Source organism: Homo sapiens, chromosome 17, assembly GCF_000001405.40.
Source record: "Homo sapiens chromosome 17, GRCh38.p14 Primary Assembly".
Lineage (NCBI taxonomy): Eukaryota > Metazoa > Chordata > Mammalia > Primates > Hominidae > Homo > Homo sapiens.
This window is the reverse complement of record NC_000017.11, coordinates 61,885,247-61,898,369: the sequence shown is the minus strand read 5'-3', so window position 1 is coordinate 61,898,369 and position 13,123 is coordinate 61,885,247. Positions and strand designations below refer to the sequence as shown.

At 39.2% G+C, this 13,123-nt stretch overlaps 1 protein-coding gene across 4 annotated transcripts in view; it reads left to right on the top strand.

Moving 5' to 3' along the window:
- The window catches only part of INTS2 (integrator complex subunit 2), a 62,616-nt gene that overhangs the window by 29,613 nt on the left and 19,880 nt on the right, over positions 1-13,123 (top strand). For all 4 annotated transcript variants that reach the window (XR_934509.3, NM_020748.4, NM_001330417.2 and 1 more), the window contains exons 10-15: positions 631-702; positions 787-901; positions 2,987-3,055; positions 4,471-4,605; positions 6,681-6,857; positions 8,476-8,584. Coding sequence is in view for 3 of the 4 variants with exons in the window: in NM_020748.4 (NP_065799.2) it covers positions 631-702; positions 787-901; positions 2,987-3,055; positions 4,471-4,605; positions 6,681-6,857; positions 8,476-8,584 (677 nt within the window). In the remaining variant the exon portion in view is untranslated. The remainder of the gene's footprint in view (positions 1-630; positions 703-786; positions 902-2,986; positions 3,056-4,470; positions 4,606-6,680; positions 6,858-8,475; positions 8,585-13,123) is intronic.

Below are 13,123 nucleotides of genomic sequence, written 5' to 3'. Positions count from 1 at the left end.
TGAGCTATGATTGCGCCACTGCACTCCAGCCTGGGCGACAGAGCAAGACATTGTCTCAAAGAAAAGTCGTATTTTTATAGCCATTTTTCATATCTGGTAAGCCTGTGACTGCCTTTTTTCCCATGATTAGTGATCATTTATTTCTCTGTAACTTTGAGATCTACTCATAAGGTTTCTATAAATTAAATTTCATTTTTCCAGAAGATGGACTGCTCATTACTGTTTGGCACTCAGTTTGTGATATTTTGATGCTTAAGTGTTAACACTAGATTTTTTTCTATATGAAATAAATATCAGCTGTTGTGTAGTTGTTTTAACAAGTTAATCCCAAGGGGCCTTTGTTTTCTAAGGAATGTGAAGAATCTTACTCTTTCCAACCTGTGAAGGCAGTAACTAAGACTTTGAGAGGGGATCCATGAAAAAAAGCAAAGGTCCTCATTCTTGAGCTCTAGAATTACTTCATACCTCAATGACAATTAATGGCCCAATTCAGCAAGCCTTTAATTTGACTTGATACTTGAAAATAGGGCAGGAAAAATAATTTCTACCAAAAATAACTTCAGAATGCTTTTTATTCATATGCTAGTATATCTAATTTAAACCAGTGACATTCTGGTATATTTTATATAGTACACCTGAACAGGAGCAGCTGATGGTGGTGTGGCTAAGTTGGATGATAAAAGAAGAAGCGTATTTTGAGAGGTAAGATAATTTGATTTAGTTAGTTGAGAAAGCTTTTCTTCTTCTCTCTTTGGAAAATTCATATTTCCTATTTTGTTTTGACAGTACTTCAGGCGTCTCTGCTTCTTTTGGGGAGATGTTATTATTGGTGGCTATGTACTTTCACAGCAACCAGCTTAGTGCTATCATTGACTTGGTCTGTTCCACTTTGGGGATGAAGGTAATTTTCTTTTAACTTCTTTCTAAAAAAAAAAAGGTGTTTCTAAGCTGGACATTTTGTTGTAGTGTAAATAGATTGTTTTCATTTAAGTAATTTTAATTGTTTAATAGAAGTTTTATCAAGAGCGCTTAGAAAAATGCATTTTGAAACCTGTATTTACTAAAATAATAGATACTCATGCAAAAACCTTGGAAAGCACAGAAAAGGGAAAGATATCTTATAATTCCATGATTCAGAGATACCTAGTATACTACTATTAATATTCTGATGTCTGTTCTTTCTTTAAAGTGACGTACATATTTGATGATTTAAAAAAATTAATATATGATGAGCATTTACTCATATCAATAAATATTATAATACAGTATAATTTTTAATGACTGCATTGTCTTATAGTCCATTGTTTGATCTTCTTAATAGGTCCCTTATTATTTCCCATGTAGATTTTCTAGTTTCTGTATAATGCTTAGAGGAATGTCCTTGTTTATGTAAATACACACATAGGCACCCACATGTATCTCTTCATACACCTGTTGGATTATTTTCTTAGGATAAATTTCTAGAAGGTAATTGCTAAGGAAAAGTGTATGACTATGTTAAGGTGTTTCATGAGTACTGTCAGATTATCTTTTCGAAAGATTGTATCAGTTTAACTCTTACCGTTAGTAAGAACTACTGTTTTTCTAAACTTTCAACATGACTGAGCATTACTATTTTTTTTTAATCTTTGCAAATTTGGTTGATGAACAGTGGTATCACTTAGTTTGAATTTCTTTGATTACTAGTGAAACTTAGTATTTAAAATTTATGTGTTTTGGCTTGTTTATTTCTTTTGTGAAAAGCTGATCAGTATCCTAATTTTCCTGTAGGGACTTTGATTTATTTTTTTCTTTCACTGATTCAAAAGGAAAGATATGTCATTATGCCTTATACATCTTACTTCATATATTTCAAGACGTATATTTTACCCAGTATTGAAATTGGGATTCATTTTACAGTTGACATGTAATATGAAAGTGGTAGTGTTCCAACTCCTACTTTTTTCTTGAAAAGCTACTGTAATATTAAATCAGTGACATATCTTATAGTATCTTTAAAAGTGGAGAGTTCAATATGTTATAATTGACTTTTTCCAGTATTTTTTGCCATTTAACTTCGCCATGTGGAAATTATTATCATTATTATTTTTATGTAGTATATTAAATGTTTTTTTTTTGTTTTTTTTTTTTGAGATGGAGTCTTGCTCTGTCGCCCAGGCTAGAGTGCAGTGGTGCGATCTCGGCTCACTGCAAGCTCCGTCTCCCAGGTTCATGCCATTCTCCTGCCTCAGCCTCCCCAGCAGCTGGGACTACAGGCACATACCGCCACGCCCGGCTAATTTTTGTATTTTTAGTAGAGATGGGGTTTCACTGTGTTAGCCAGGATGGTGTCGATCTCCTGACCTTGTGATCTGCCCTCCTCGGCCTCCCAAAGTGCTGGGATTACAGGCGTGAACCACTGCACCTGGCTGTAAATGTTCTTTTTGTGTTTTCTATTTTGCTCTTATGCTTAGAAATGTTTTCCTTTCTTGGGTTTATATAAGTGGTCACTTATATTTTCTTCTAGTTTTTTTTGGTGGTTTCATGTTTTACATTTGAACATTTTAATCTACTTGGAGTTTCTTTTGGTGTATGGTGTGATATGTGCAAAAAGTGTATGTGTGTCTATCTGTACATATACATATATACATATATTTGTGTGTGTATATGTGCGTATATACAGACACAGACACACACATACACACACACACATATTTCTCTTGGCCTCACAGAGGGGCAGCTATCCTAGCTCCATGTAGTAAATAATCTGTTTCCCCCAACCGACTGAAAATGCCAATAATAGTATTTATTAAGTGCTTTTTATATTGGTTCTGTTTTTGAGTATTAACACTTTAATGTTGGGTTTGGGAAAGCACTTCTAAAACAGAGTAGAGTACTTGAACATTTGAACATTTATGTGTATCATAGCCATTTTAGATAAGTTCCCTAGAATAAATTGTGTTTCATATATTTTTACATGCTGTTGGAATTCTTTTGGTAATTTTAGATTGTAATTAAGCCAAGCTCCTTGAGCAGGATGAAGACAATCTTCACACAGGAAATTTTTACTGAGCAGGTATTTCTTTTTATTCTTAGGTACTTATTTAACTTTCTTTTACAATATTCTTTGGGAGAAAACTTGTGTGTCTTACCTTAAGAAAATAATATGGTCTTTTTTCTTTTTAAACTCATGATGATTTATTTCATCTTTGAAACTTTCTTAAAGAATAATCCATTTAAAATACACTTTTAAAACTAGTCATAACATACCAAGGCATCTTTTGAATTTATGTATTTTTGGAGACTTTGAGTAGATACTTAGGAGAATACTCTTAGATGTTGCTGGTAGGGCATCTCAAGGGGTAATTGTTTTAATGTGTCTGGAGAAAGATAAAATGAAGTCCTATTTAAACCTTTAGGCTGTAAAATTCATTTCTAACTAGATTACAGGCTAGAGTCTAAATTTCTTATACTTAACATGTTCTTCTTTAGCCTTAGCACTTTTGTCCATGGATAAGCATAAGGATTTTTTTCATTTCTTTTTTTTTTTTATCTCACTTTGTCACCCAGGCTAGTATACAGTGGTATGGTCATAGCTTACTGCAACCTCTGCCTCCTGGGTTGGAGCAATTCTCCTGCCTCAGCCTCCCAAGTAGCTAGGATTAGAGGTGCACACCACCACGCCTAATTTTTGTATTTTTAGTAGAGATGGGGTTTTACCACGTTGACCAGGCTGGTCTTGAACTCCTGACCTCAGGTGATCCACCCACCTCAGCCTCCCAGAGTGCTGGGGTTACAGGCATGAGCCACTGCACCCGGCCAGTTGTTGCTTTTTTGTGGCTATTAATATCTTTATTTCTATATTTTACTATCCCTCCCACCCTCAACACGCATATGCACATATACTCCTGAATTACAAGTAGTCACACAGCATGTGGGAGAATCATAAGTTATTTTTTGTCTTTAAATTTGAACCAATTGGAAGACAACTTTGAAGAGGGTCTTTAAAAGACGATTAGAGCCTATGCATGACATATTGAGAATAAATATTTCTGTTTATATTTATGTGGTGCTTTATAGTTCATATGATGTTTTTCCAAAAAGAATATTTTCCCCCCATAACAATGCTTTGAGGCAGGTATGGCAGTGTCCTGTTTTGTAGATGTGAAAAAGATTCAGAAGATAAATGACTTCTTCAAAGTCATTGAGCCCAGATTGTATGCTTCAAAATTTTATTTTATTTTTTTACCTTATCACACCACTGTGTATGTATCTATGTTTATAAACAAAAAATTAGGGAATTATATAAATCCCTAAATGTACATTTCCTCAGCATTCAAAGACAATTAAAACATGTAATAATTTATTTTCATCATTCATTTCTAGGGACCACACTTGTATTAGGTGTTGACAGTCTACTTACTAATCTCTCTTTCAAAATAATTTTATATTTAGTTCTATTATATTACTAATGCTATTTTTCCCTTTTAGGTTGTCACAGCTCATGCAGTTCGGGTCCCTGTCACCAGCAACCTGAGTGCCAACATTACTGGATTTTTGCCTATTCATTGTATTTACCAGCTTCTCAGGAGCCGTTCCTTTACCAAGCACAAAGTGTCAATAAAAGTATGCCCCTACAAATAAAACAAAATAAAAGCATGCCCCTACATTTTTATATATATATTTTTTTTCTTTTGAGATGGAGTCTTGCTCAGTCACCCAGGTTGGAGTGCAGTGGTGCAGTCTTGGCTCACTGTAACCTCTGCCTCCTGGGTTAAAGTGATTCTCCTGCCTCAACCTCCCAGGTAGCTGGGACTACAGGTGTGTGCCACCATGCCCGGCTAATTTTTGTATTTTTAGTAGAGACAGGGTTTCACCGTGTTGGCTGGCTGGTGTCGAACTCCTGACCTCAAGTGATATGCCTGTCTCAACCGACCAAAGTGCTGGGATTACAGGCGTGAGCCACTGTGCCTGGCCTACATTTATATTTCAAAGAACAACCTAAATTAATGCTTTCTCCCCAGTTGTATTTCAGTTTGTAGGCATTTATTGTGGGTTTTGTGTAGGAAATGTGTGGTATTAAGCTAAGTTACTAGTCATTTATATAAGTATAGTAATTAGGGATAGTAATTATAATTATATAATTATACAGTAATTTCAGATTTTTAAAACAATGTAAGATTTTCAAAATGCATAATACTCCATTTAAATTCTCAATAGTGGCACATGGCTATTTTATTAAAACTTAGAAACTGCCATTTTCTAATTTTTTTTTTTAATTTTAAAGACAGGGTCTCACTCTGTCGCCCAGGCTGTCATAGCTCACTGTAACCTCAAACTCCTGGGCTCAAGCAGTCCTCCTGCCACAGCCTCCTAAGTAGCTGGAACTACAGGTGCGAGCCACCACTCCTGGCTTTTTTTTTTTTTTTTTTTTTTTGAGATGGAGTCTCACTTTGTTGCCCAAGCTGGAGTGCAGTGGTGCTATCTCAGCTCACTGCAACCTCCGCCTCCTGGGTTCAAGTGATTCCCCTGCTTCCGCCTCCTGAGTAGCTGGTATTACAGGCTCCTGCCACCATGCCTGGCTAATTTTTTTTTTTTTTTAATTTTTAGTAGAGACAGGGTTTCACCATGTTGGCCAGGCTGGTCTCAAACTCCTGACCTCACGTGATCCACCCACCTCGGCCTCCCAAAGTGCTGGGATTACAGGCATGAACCACCGTGCCTGGCCTCATACCTGGCTTTAAAAAGTGTTTTTTTGTAGAGACAGGGTCTCGCTATTTTGCCCAGGCTGGTCTGGTCTTGAACTCCTGGTCTCAAGCAATTCTCCTACTTCGGCCTCCCGAAGTGTTGGGATTACAGGCATGAGCCACTGCAGTGGGCCTGGTTTTGTTTTACAAATTGGGGAAGCTGCCATGACTAGTATTTGTTGATTTGTCATAAGGACACCTCACACCTAACTTAGAATTTTGACATGTTTTGATTTGTCTTAGTTGGCTATATCTAACAAGTTAAAAGGCCCTCTAAAGAGAAGGTATTAAGACCCAGGAGGTAAAGTAGACTGAAACTTTTTCAGATATTTACAAAGAACAGTGAATAATATATGCATGATATATCACTTTTTAATTGTTGCTTGTTTTTTGTGATTTAGTGAGATTATTTTCCAGCCAGATTGCATCATCTGCTTTATATTTTTAGCAAGTAAAATAGCTAAGAATTAAGAGTTCACATGCACCCCCAACATTTTACATGTCCTCCATCCAATGATAGTTAAGTGATAAGTCTCCTGTAAGTGCTTTTCAGAGACATTTTCTTAGTCTATCTGAGGGTTTGCTGTGAAGGACCTATCTCTCTCTCTCCAAATTCCTATCTAACGTGAGCTCTCCCATGACGACACACATGGTGCTCTAAATACAGATATGGTAGGGACTTAAAATGTTTTTCCCACTACTTAAAAACTAATAGATTAAACCGAAAGGCAAGCTTCTAGTGGAGGGTGCACCTAAGATGATACAGATATAATGGTAGTTCATATTTTAAAATCAAAGGCAGTTATGATACTAGATAATATATTTGGAACTGCCAAAAGTTAATAGTGAGTTTTACTGATTCATAATTCATGTAAAACTGTATGTACTTTTATAATTTTGCTTGGTTTTTCTTTTTGCCACAATTAATTCAGTGTCTATAACATTCTTTCTTAGGATTGGATTTATAGACAGCTGTGTGAAACCTCTACTCCACTTCATCCTCAATTACTTCCTTTGATTGATGTGTACATAAATTCTATACTTACTCCTGCGTCGAAATCTAATCCAGAAGCCACAAATCAGCCAGTCACAGAACAGGAGATACTCAATATTTTCCAAGGAGTCATTGGGGTAAAATAGTGGTTCTTTTATATCTATTAACTTATTTTTCTTTTAGTTCTTCTTACTTAACCCATATTTTTATTTTCCTATCAGAGGACTTCTAGGTAGTTCTGAATTTAAAATTAGATTAAATTTCCTTAGATCACCTCTAAAAATTAAAAGAATGGTATTAGTTCCAAGTAGTTTGCTAAACAGGCACTTTTTTTTTTGAGATGGAGTTTTACTCTTGTTGCCTAGGCTGGAGTGCAGTGGCGCGATCTCAGCTCACTGCAACCTCCTCCTCCCTGCAACCTCTGTCTGCCGGGTTCAAGTGATTCTCCTGCCTCAGTCTCTCGAGTAGCTAGGATTGCAGGCGCCTGCCACAACGCCTGGCTAATGTTTTGTATTTTTAGTAGAGACAGGGTTTCACCATGTTGGCCAGGCTGATCTCGAACTCCTGACCTCAGGTGATCTACCTGCCTCAGCCTCCCAAAGTGCTGGGATTACAGGTGTGAGTCACTGTGCCTGGCCTTTTTTTTTTTTTTTTTTTTTTTTTTTTGAGACTGGAGTCTTGCTGTGACACCCAGGCTGGAGTGCAATGGGCAGTCTCGGCTCACTACAACCTCCGCTTCCTGGGTTCAAGCGATTCTCCTGCTTCAGCCTCCTGAGTAGGCTGGTCTCAAACTCCTGACCTCAAGTGATCCTCCTGCCTTGGCCTCCCAAAGTGCTGGGATTACAGGTGTGAGCCACTGCGCCTGGCCAGTAATTTTTTTTTTTTTAAGCTTCACTTTAAAGTCTAATGGGTTCCCTGGAGATTGTGTATTTGATCAAGTACTGTGTGGGATATCAAGATATTCAGCATAGGTTTGTTTAGCATCCTGGGAATCTAAGATACACCTACATTCATTTAGGGGGATTTTTTTTTTTTTTTTTGAGACAGAGTCTCACTCTGTTGCCCCGACCGGAGTGCAGTGACACGATCTCAGCTTACTGCAAACTCTGCCTCCTGGGTTCAAGTGATTCTCATGCCTCAGCCTCTCGAGTAGCAGGGATTACAGGCACCTGCCACCACGCCTGGCTAATTTTTATATTTTTAGTAGAGACAGGGTTTTACTATGTTGGCCAGCTGGTCTCCAACTCGTGACCTCAGGTGATCTGCCTGCCTCAGCCTCCCAAAGTGCTGGGATTACAGGTATGAGCCACTGCTCCTGGCTCATTCAGGGAAAATTTGATGAAAGTATTTTTTCCCCAGTTTGTTAGAAGGGAAAAACAGTTGCATTTTTCACAAATATATTTAAGTATACAATGTCTTATTTAGGAGTTACTTTTTTCATGGTAATTTCATATAATACTTGGGACTCCTGTCTTTCAGAAGCAGCCTGATGGGTTTGCTATTGAGTAGTAGCTGAAGTCTTTTCTTTGTCTTATCTTAAAGACCACTTAAGCATGTTGCCTTTCATCTCTCATGCCATCTCAGATTTCATGTTGTTTTTTTGAGTTTAATACACACACAGCAACATTTCTCCTGTTTTACCTGAGTTAGGAGCAGCAATGCTGAATAGTCTATTTTGATTCTTTTACTATCAAGAAAAAAAAAAGCACTCGTGAAATTCAGAGTATTTCAGAGTATTTGTAATATTACCTCCAGGGTGACAACATCCGCCTTAATCAGCGTTTCAGTATCACAGCACAGCTTTTGGTGCTCTACTATATACTGTCTTATGAAGAGGCTCTTCTAGCAAACACGAAGACTTTAGGTAAGTTGTACGTAGAGGAGTGGTTCTAGTGGTAGTTTATTTTATTAGCTTGTATTTTGTTACTTTCCAAACTGTTCTTTGATAAGGGCAATATTTTAATAAACTCTAGTATCATTTTATAATCTTTGCAATGTGGGCATTGTATACTTGATACATAAATCATGTATGTTGGGGTATGTAACCACGATTTATGGCCCAGTCCTCCTTATCAGAGGCTAAATTAATAGATAACAGAATTGCCTGTATTTTAACAATTGTATAGGTCTTGTTCACTAAATATAAATTTAACACCTGATGGAGCTGTAACTGAATTTTTTTCTCTTGATTTGAGTTGAGTCTTTGACCGGTCTTCCTTCCATTAGTGTAAAGAGTAACAACCTAATCAAAAACAATAGAAAAGGCCAGTCGAGGTGGCTTACGCCTGTAATCCTAGCACTTCGGGAGGCCGAGGTGGGCGGATCACCTGAGGTCAGGAGTTCGAGACCAGCCTGGTCAACATGGCGAAACCCCGTCTCTACTAAAAATACAAAAATTAGCCAGGTGTGGTGGCTCATGCCTGTAATCCCAGCTACTCAGGAGGTTGAGGCAGGAGAATCCCTTGAACCCAGAGGCGGAAGTTGCAGTGAGCTGAGATTGCGCCACTGCACTCCAGCCTGGTGGACAGAGTGAGACTGTGTCTCAAAAAAAAAAAAAAGTAGAAGAGTTTCTTTTTTTTTGTTTTGTTTTGGTTTGTTTTTTGTTTTTTGTTTTTTGTTTTTTGTTTTTGACAGTCTTGCTCTGTTGCCCAGCCTAGAGTGCAGTGGCATGATCTTGGCTCACTGCAAGCTCCACTTCCTGAGTTCATGCCATTCTCCTGCCTCAGCCTCCGGCGTAGCTGGGACTACAGGCGCCTGCTACGACGCCCGGCTAATTTTTTTGTATTTTTAGTAAAGATGGGGTTTCACCATGTTAGCCAGGATGGTCTTCATCTCCTAACCTCGTGATCCGCCTGCCTCGGCCTCCCAAAGTGCTGGGATTACAGGCGTGAGCCACTGCGCCTGGCCGAAGAGTTTCGTTTTGCCGTTAACATTGGGCTGGGTATGGTAGCTCATTCCCTGTAATCTCAGTACTTTGGTACTTTGGGAGGCTGAGATGGGATGGTCACTTGTGCTCAGAGTTTGACACCAGCCTGGAAAACAGCAAGATGCCCATCTCCACACACACACACACACACACACACACGCACGCACACACACGCACACAGAGAATGTCACTGAAATGGGCTTTGAAACTTAGTTACTTCACATAATATCAGAAGGTCAGATTTAGCATGCATGATATCATTATAAAGTGGTATCTTTTCCTGTATTTGAAAAAGAAGGTTTACCTGTGTTTATACTTCCTACATGTGTATAGTTCATTTCATCTATTTATTTTTTGAGACAGGGTCTCACTCTGTCACCCAGGCTGGAGTGCAGTGGCATGAACATGGCTCAGTGTAGCCTTGATCTCTTGGGCTCAAGGGATCCCTGCCTCAGCCTCCAGTGTAGCTGGGACCACAGGTGGACACCACCATGCCTGGCTGATTTTTTTTATTTTTTGTAGAGATGGGATTTGCCATGTTGCCAGGCTGATCTCAAACTCCTGGGCTCGAGCAGTCCTCCTGGCTTGGCCTCCCAAAGTGCTGGGATTACAGGTGTGAGTGATCCTCCTGACCTTTGTGTGTAGTTTTTAATTTGTTTTTCTTTTTTTTTTGAGACAAAATCTCACTCTGTCACCCAGGCTGGAATGCAGTGGTGCGATCTTGGCTCACTGCAACCTCCGCCTCTCAGGTTCAAACGATTCTTCTGCTTCAGCCTCCTGAATAGCTGGGATTACAGGTGCGTACCACATTCCTGGCTAATTTTTGTATTTGTAGTAGAGATGGAGTTTCATCATACTGGCCAGGCTGGTCTCGAACTCCTGACCTCAAGTGATCCACACACCTCAGCCTCTCAAAGTGCTGGGATTACAGGTGTGAGCCATCACACCCGGCCTGGATTTTCTTTTTTATGTTTTGACATTTTCTGTGTCTTTGATACAGTTCTTGTTTGGAATTTCTGTATATTCTCACATATTTAATCTTTTCCATGAACTTTATAATAATTTTGTTAAATTTCACAAATGAAAATTATGTTGGGATTTTGATAAGAATTATGTTAAACTTATAGATTAATTTGGAGAGAATTTACGTCTTTGCAGTACTAAGTCTTCCTATCTAGGAACCTGAAATAATTTTTTGCTTTTTAATCGTGCACATATAGTCTTTTTTTTTTTTTTTTTTTGAGACAGAGTCTTGTTGTGTTGCCCAGGCTAGAGTGCAGTGGCACGATCTCAGCTCACTGCAACCTCCACCTCCCGGGTTCCAGTGATTCTCCTGCCTCGGACTCCTGAGTAGCTGGGATTACAGGTGCCCACTAACACGCCCCACTGAATTTTGTATTTTTAGTAGAGAATGGGTTTTACCATGTTGGTGAGGCTGGTCTCGACCTTCTGACCTCAAGTCATCCACCCACCTTGGCCTCCCAAAGTGCTGGGATTACAGGTGTGAGCCACTTTGCCTGGCCTTACTTTAGTCTTATAGTTAACTCATGTAAACCCTCATAACAATTCTGAGATAGGTGTGGTTACGTTTATTTTACAGGGGAGAACACTGAGGCACAAGGAAGTTAAGTAACTTCCCTAAGTTAGTATTAAGTATTGTAATAAGTATTGGAACCAGGATTTATCTCTTTCTGGAACCTATAACTATTGTTTTAACTGCCTTCTGATTTTTTCTTAATTCATAAAAGATTGGTATGGAAAACTATGCTAATTTATTAACTTAAAAGGGAGATTATATCTAAATGAGAGTATATGGTATATATGTGGTCTATATAGACAGTGATTCTCAACCTTTATTCTAACACTTGCACTTACATACTTCTTGTCCTTAATAAAAGAAAAATGGTTGAGCTTTACTGTTTGTAGTTTGTAAGAGAATAAACACATTGTACATCCTTTGTGAAATTACAAACACCCTGATTGAGATTCTCATATATTCCTGTGGTGTAAAGGAAAGTACCTTGGAATGAGCTTTGGGTGCCAGGCATATAGAATGCAGTAGAGATGAGACAGAGAAAGATACTATTGACTGGCAAGGACCTTTACTCTGTGTGATCTGAGGATTCACTGAAGGTGGCCAAATCTCTATTTAAATAAGATGACTATGGCCGCAGGTTGAAGGATGGATTAAATTGGAGGCAGGGAAAGTGGGCCATAGAAGATATTTAAACAAAAGGTGAGTAGGCACTGAATTAGGATAGCAGCAAAAGTACAGAAATTAAAATGGACTTAGAAGAAAAAAAGGTTGGACATGGCTGGTTGAGGGTAGGAGTTGTGAGAGAAGGAAGTCAAATTCGTATTGCCTGACTTAATTTAAAAAGAGGCCAGATATGATGGCTCACGCCTGTACTTTGGAATGCTGGGGCTGGTGGATCACCTGAGGTCAGGAGTTTGAGACCAGCCTGGCCAATATGGCGAAACCCCGTCTCTACTAAAAATGCAAACATTAGCTAGGCGTGGTGGCGGGCACCTGTAGTCTCAGCTACTTGGGAGGCTGAGGCACAAGAATTGTTTGAATCCAGGAGGCAGAGGTTGCAGTGAGCCAAGATTGAACCACTGCATACCAGCCTGGGTGACAGAGTGACTCATCTCAGGGAAAAAAAAAGATTTAGTCACCACTATTGTATATAATATGATAAAATTCACTGTGGCTCATGCCTGTAATCCCAGCAGTTTGGGAGGCCAAGGCGGGTGGATCATGAGGTCAGGAGATCGAGACCATCCTGGCTAACACAGTGAAACCCCATCTTTACTAATAATACAAAAAATTAGATGGGCGTGGTGGTGGGCGCTTGTAATCCCAGCTACTCAGGAGGCTGAGGCAGGAGAATCACTTGAACCTGGGAGGCAGAGTTTGCAGTGAGCCAAGATCGCGCCACTGCACTCCAGCCTGGTGACAGAGCGAGACTCTGTCTCAAAAAAAAAAAAAAAAAAAAAAAATTGGCCGGGCCCAGTGACTCACGCCTGTAATCCCAGCAATTTGGGAGGCCGAGGCAGGCTAGATCCCCCTGAGTTCAGGAATTAGAGACCAGCCTGGCCAACATTGCAAAATGCTGTCTCTACTAAAAATACAAAAATTAGCCAGGCATGGTGGTGGATGCCTGTTATCCCAGCCAATCTACTTGAGAGGCTGAGGCGGGAGAATCGCTTGAACCCGGGAAGCGGAGGTTGCAGTGAGCTGAGATCGTGCCACTGCACTCTAGCCTGGGCAAAAAGAGTGAGACTCCGTCTCAAAAAAAAAAAAAAAAAGATAAAATTACAGTTTCTTTTTATAAGATGCATTGGAATCATGAAGCTCTAGGCCATATGTTCATGATCACATTTGATCTTGTCATTAGGTTTTGGAAAATCTTGACTCACTTGTTGGTTCTTTTAGTGTAGGGCACTTTTGCACATGGCTTCTCTCAACCTGTTATG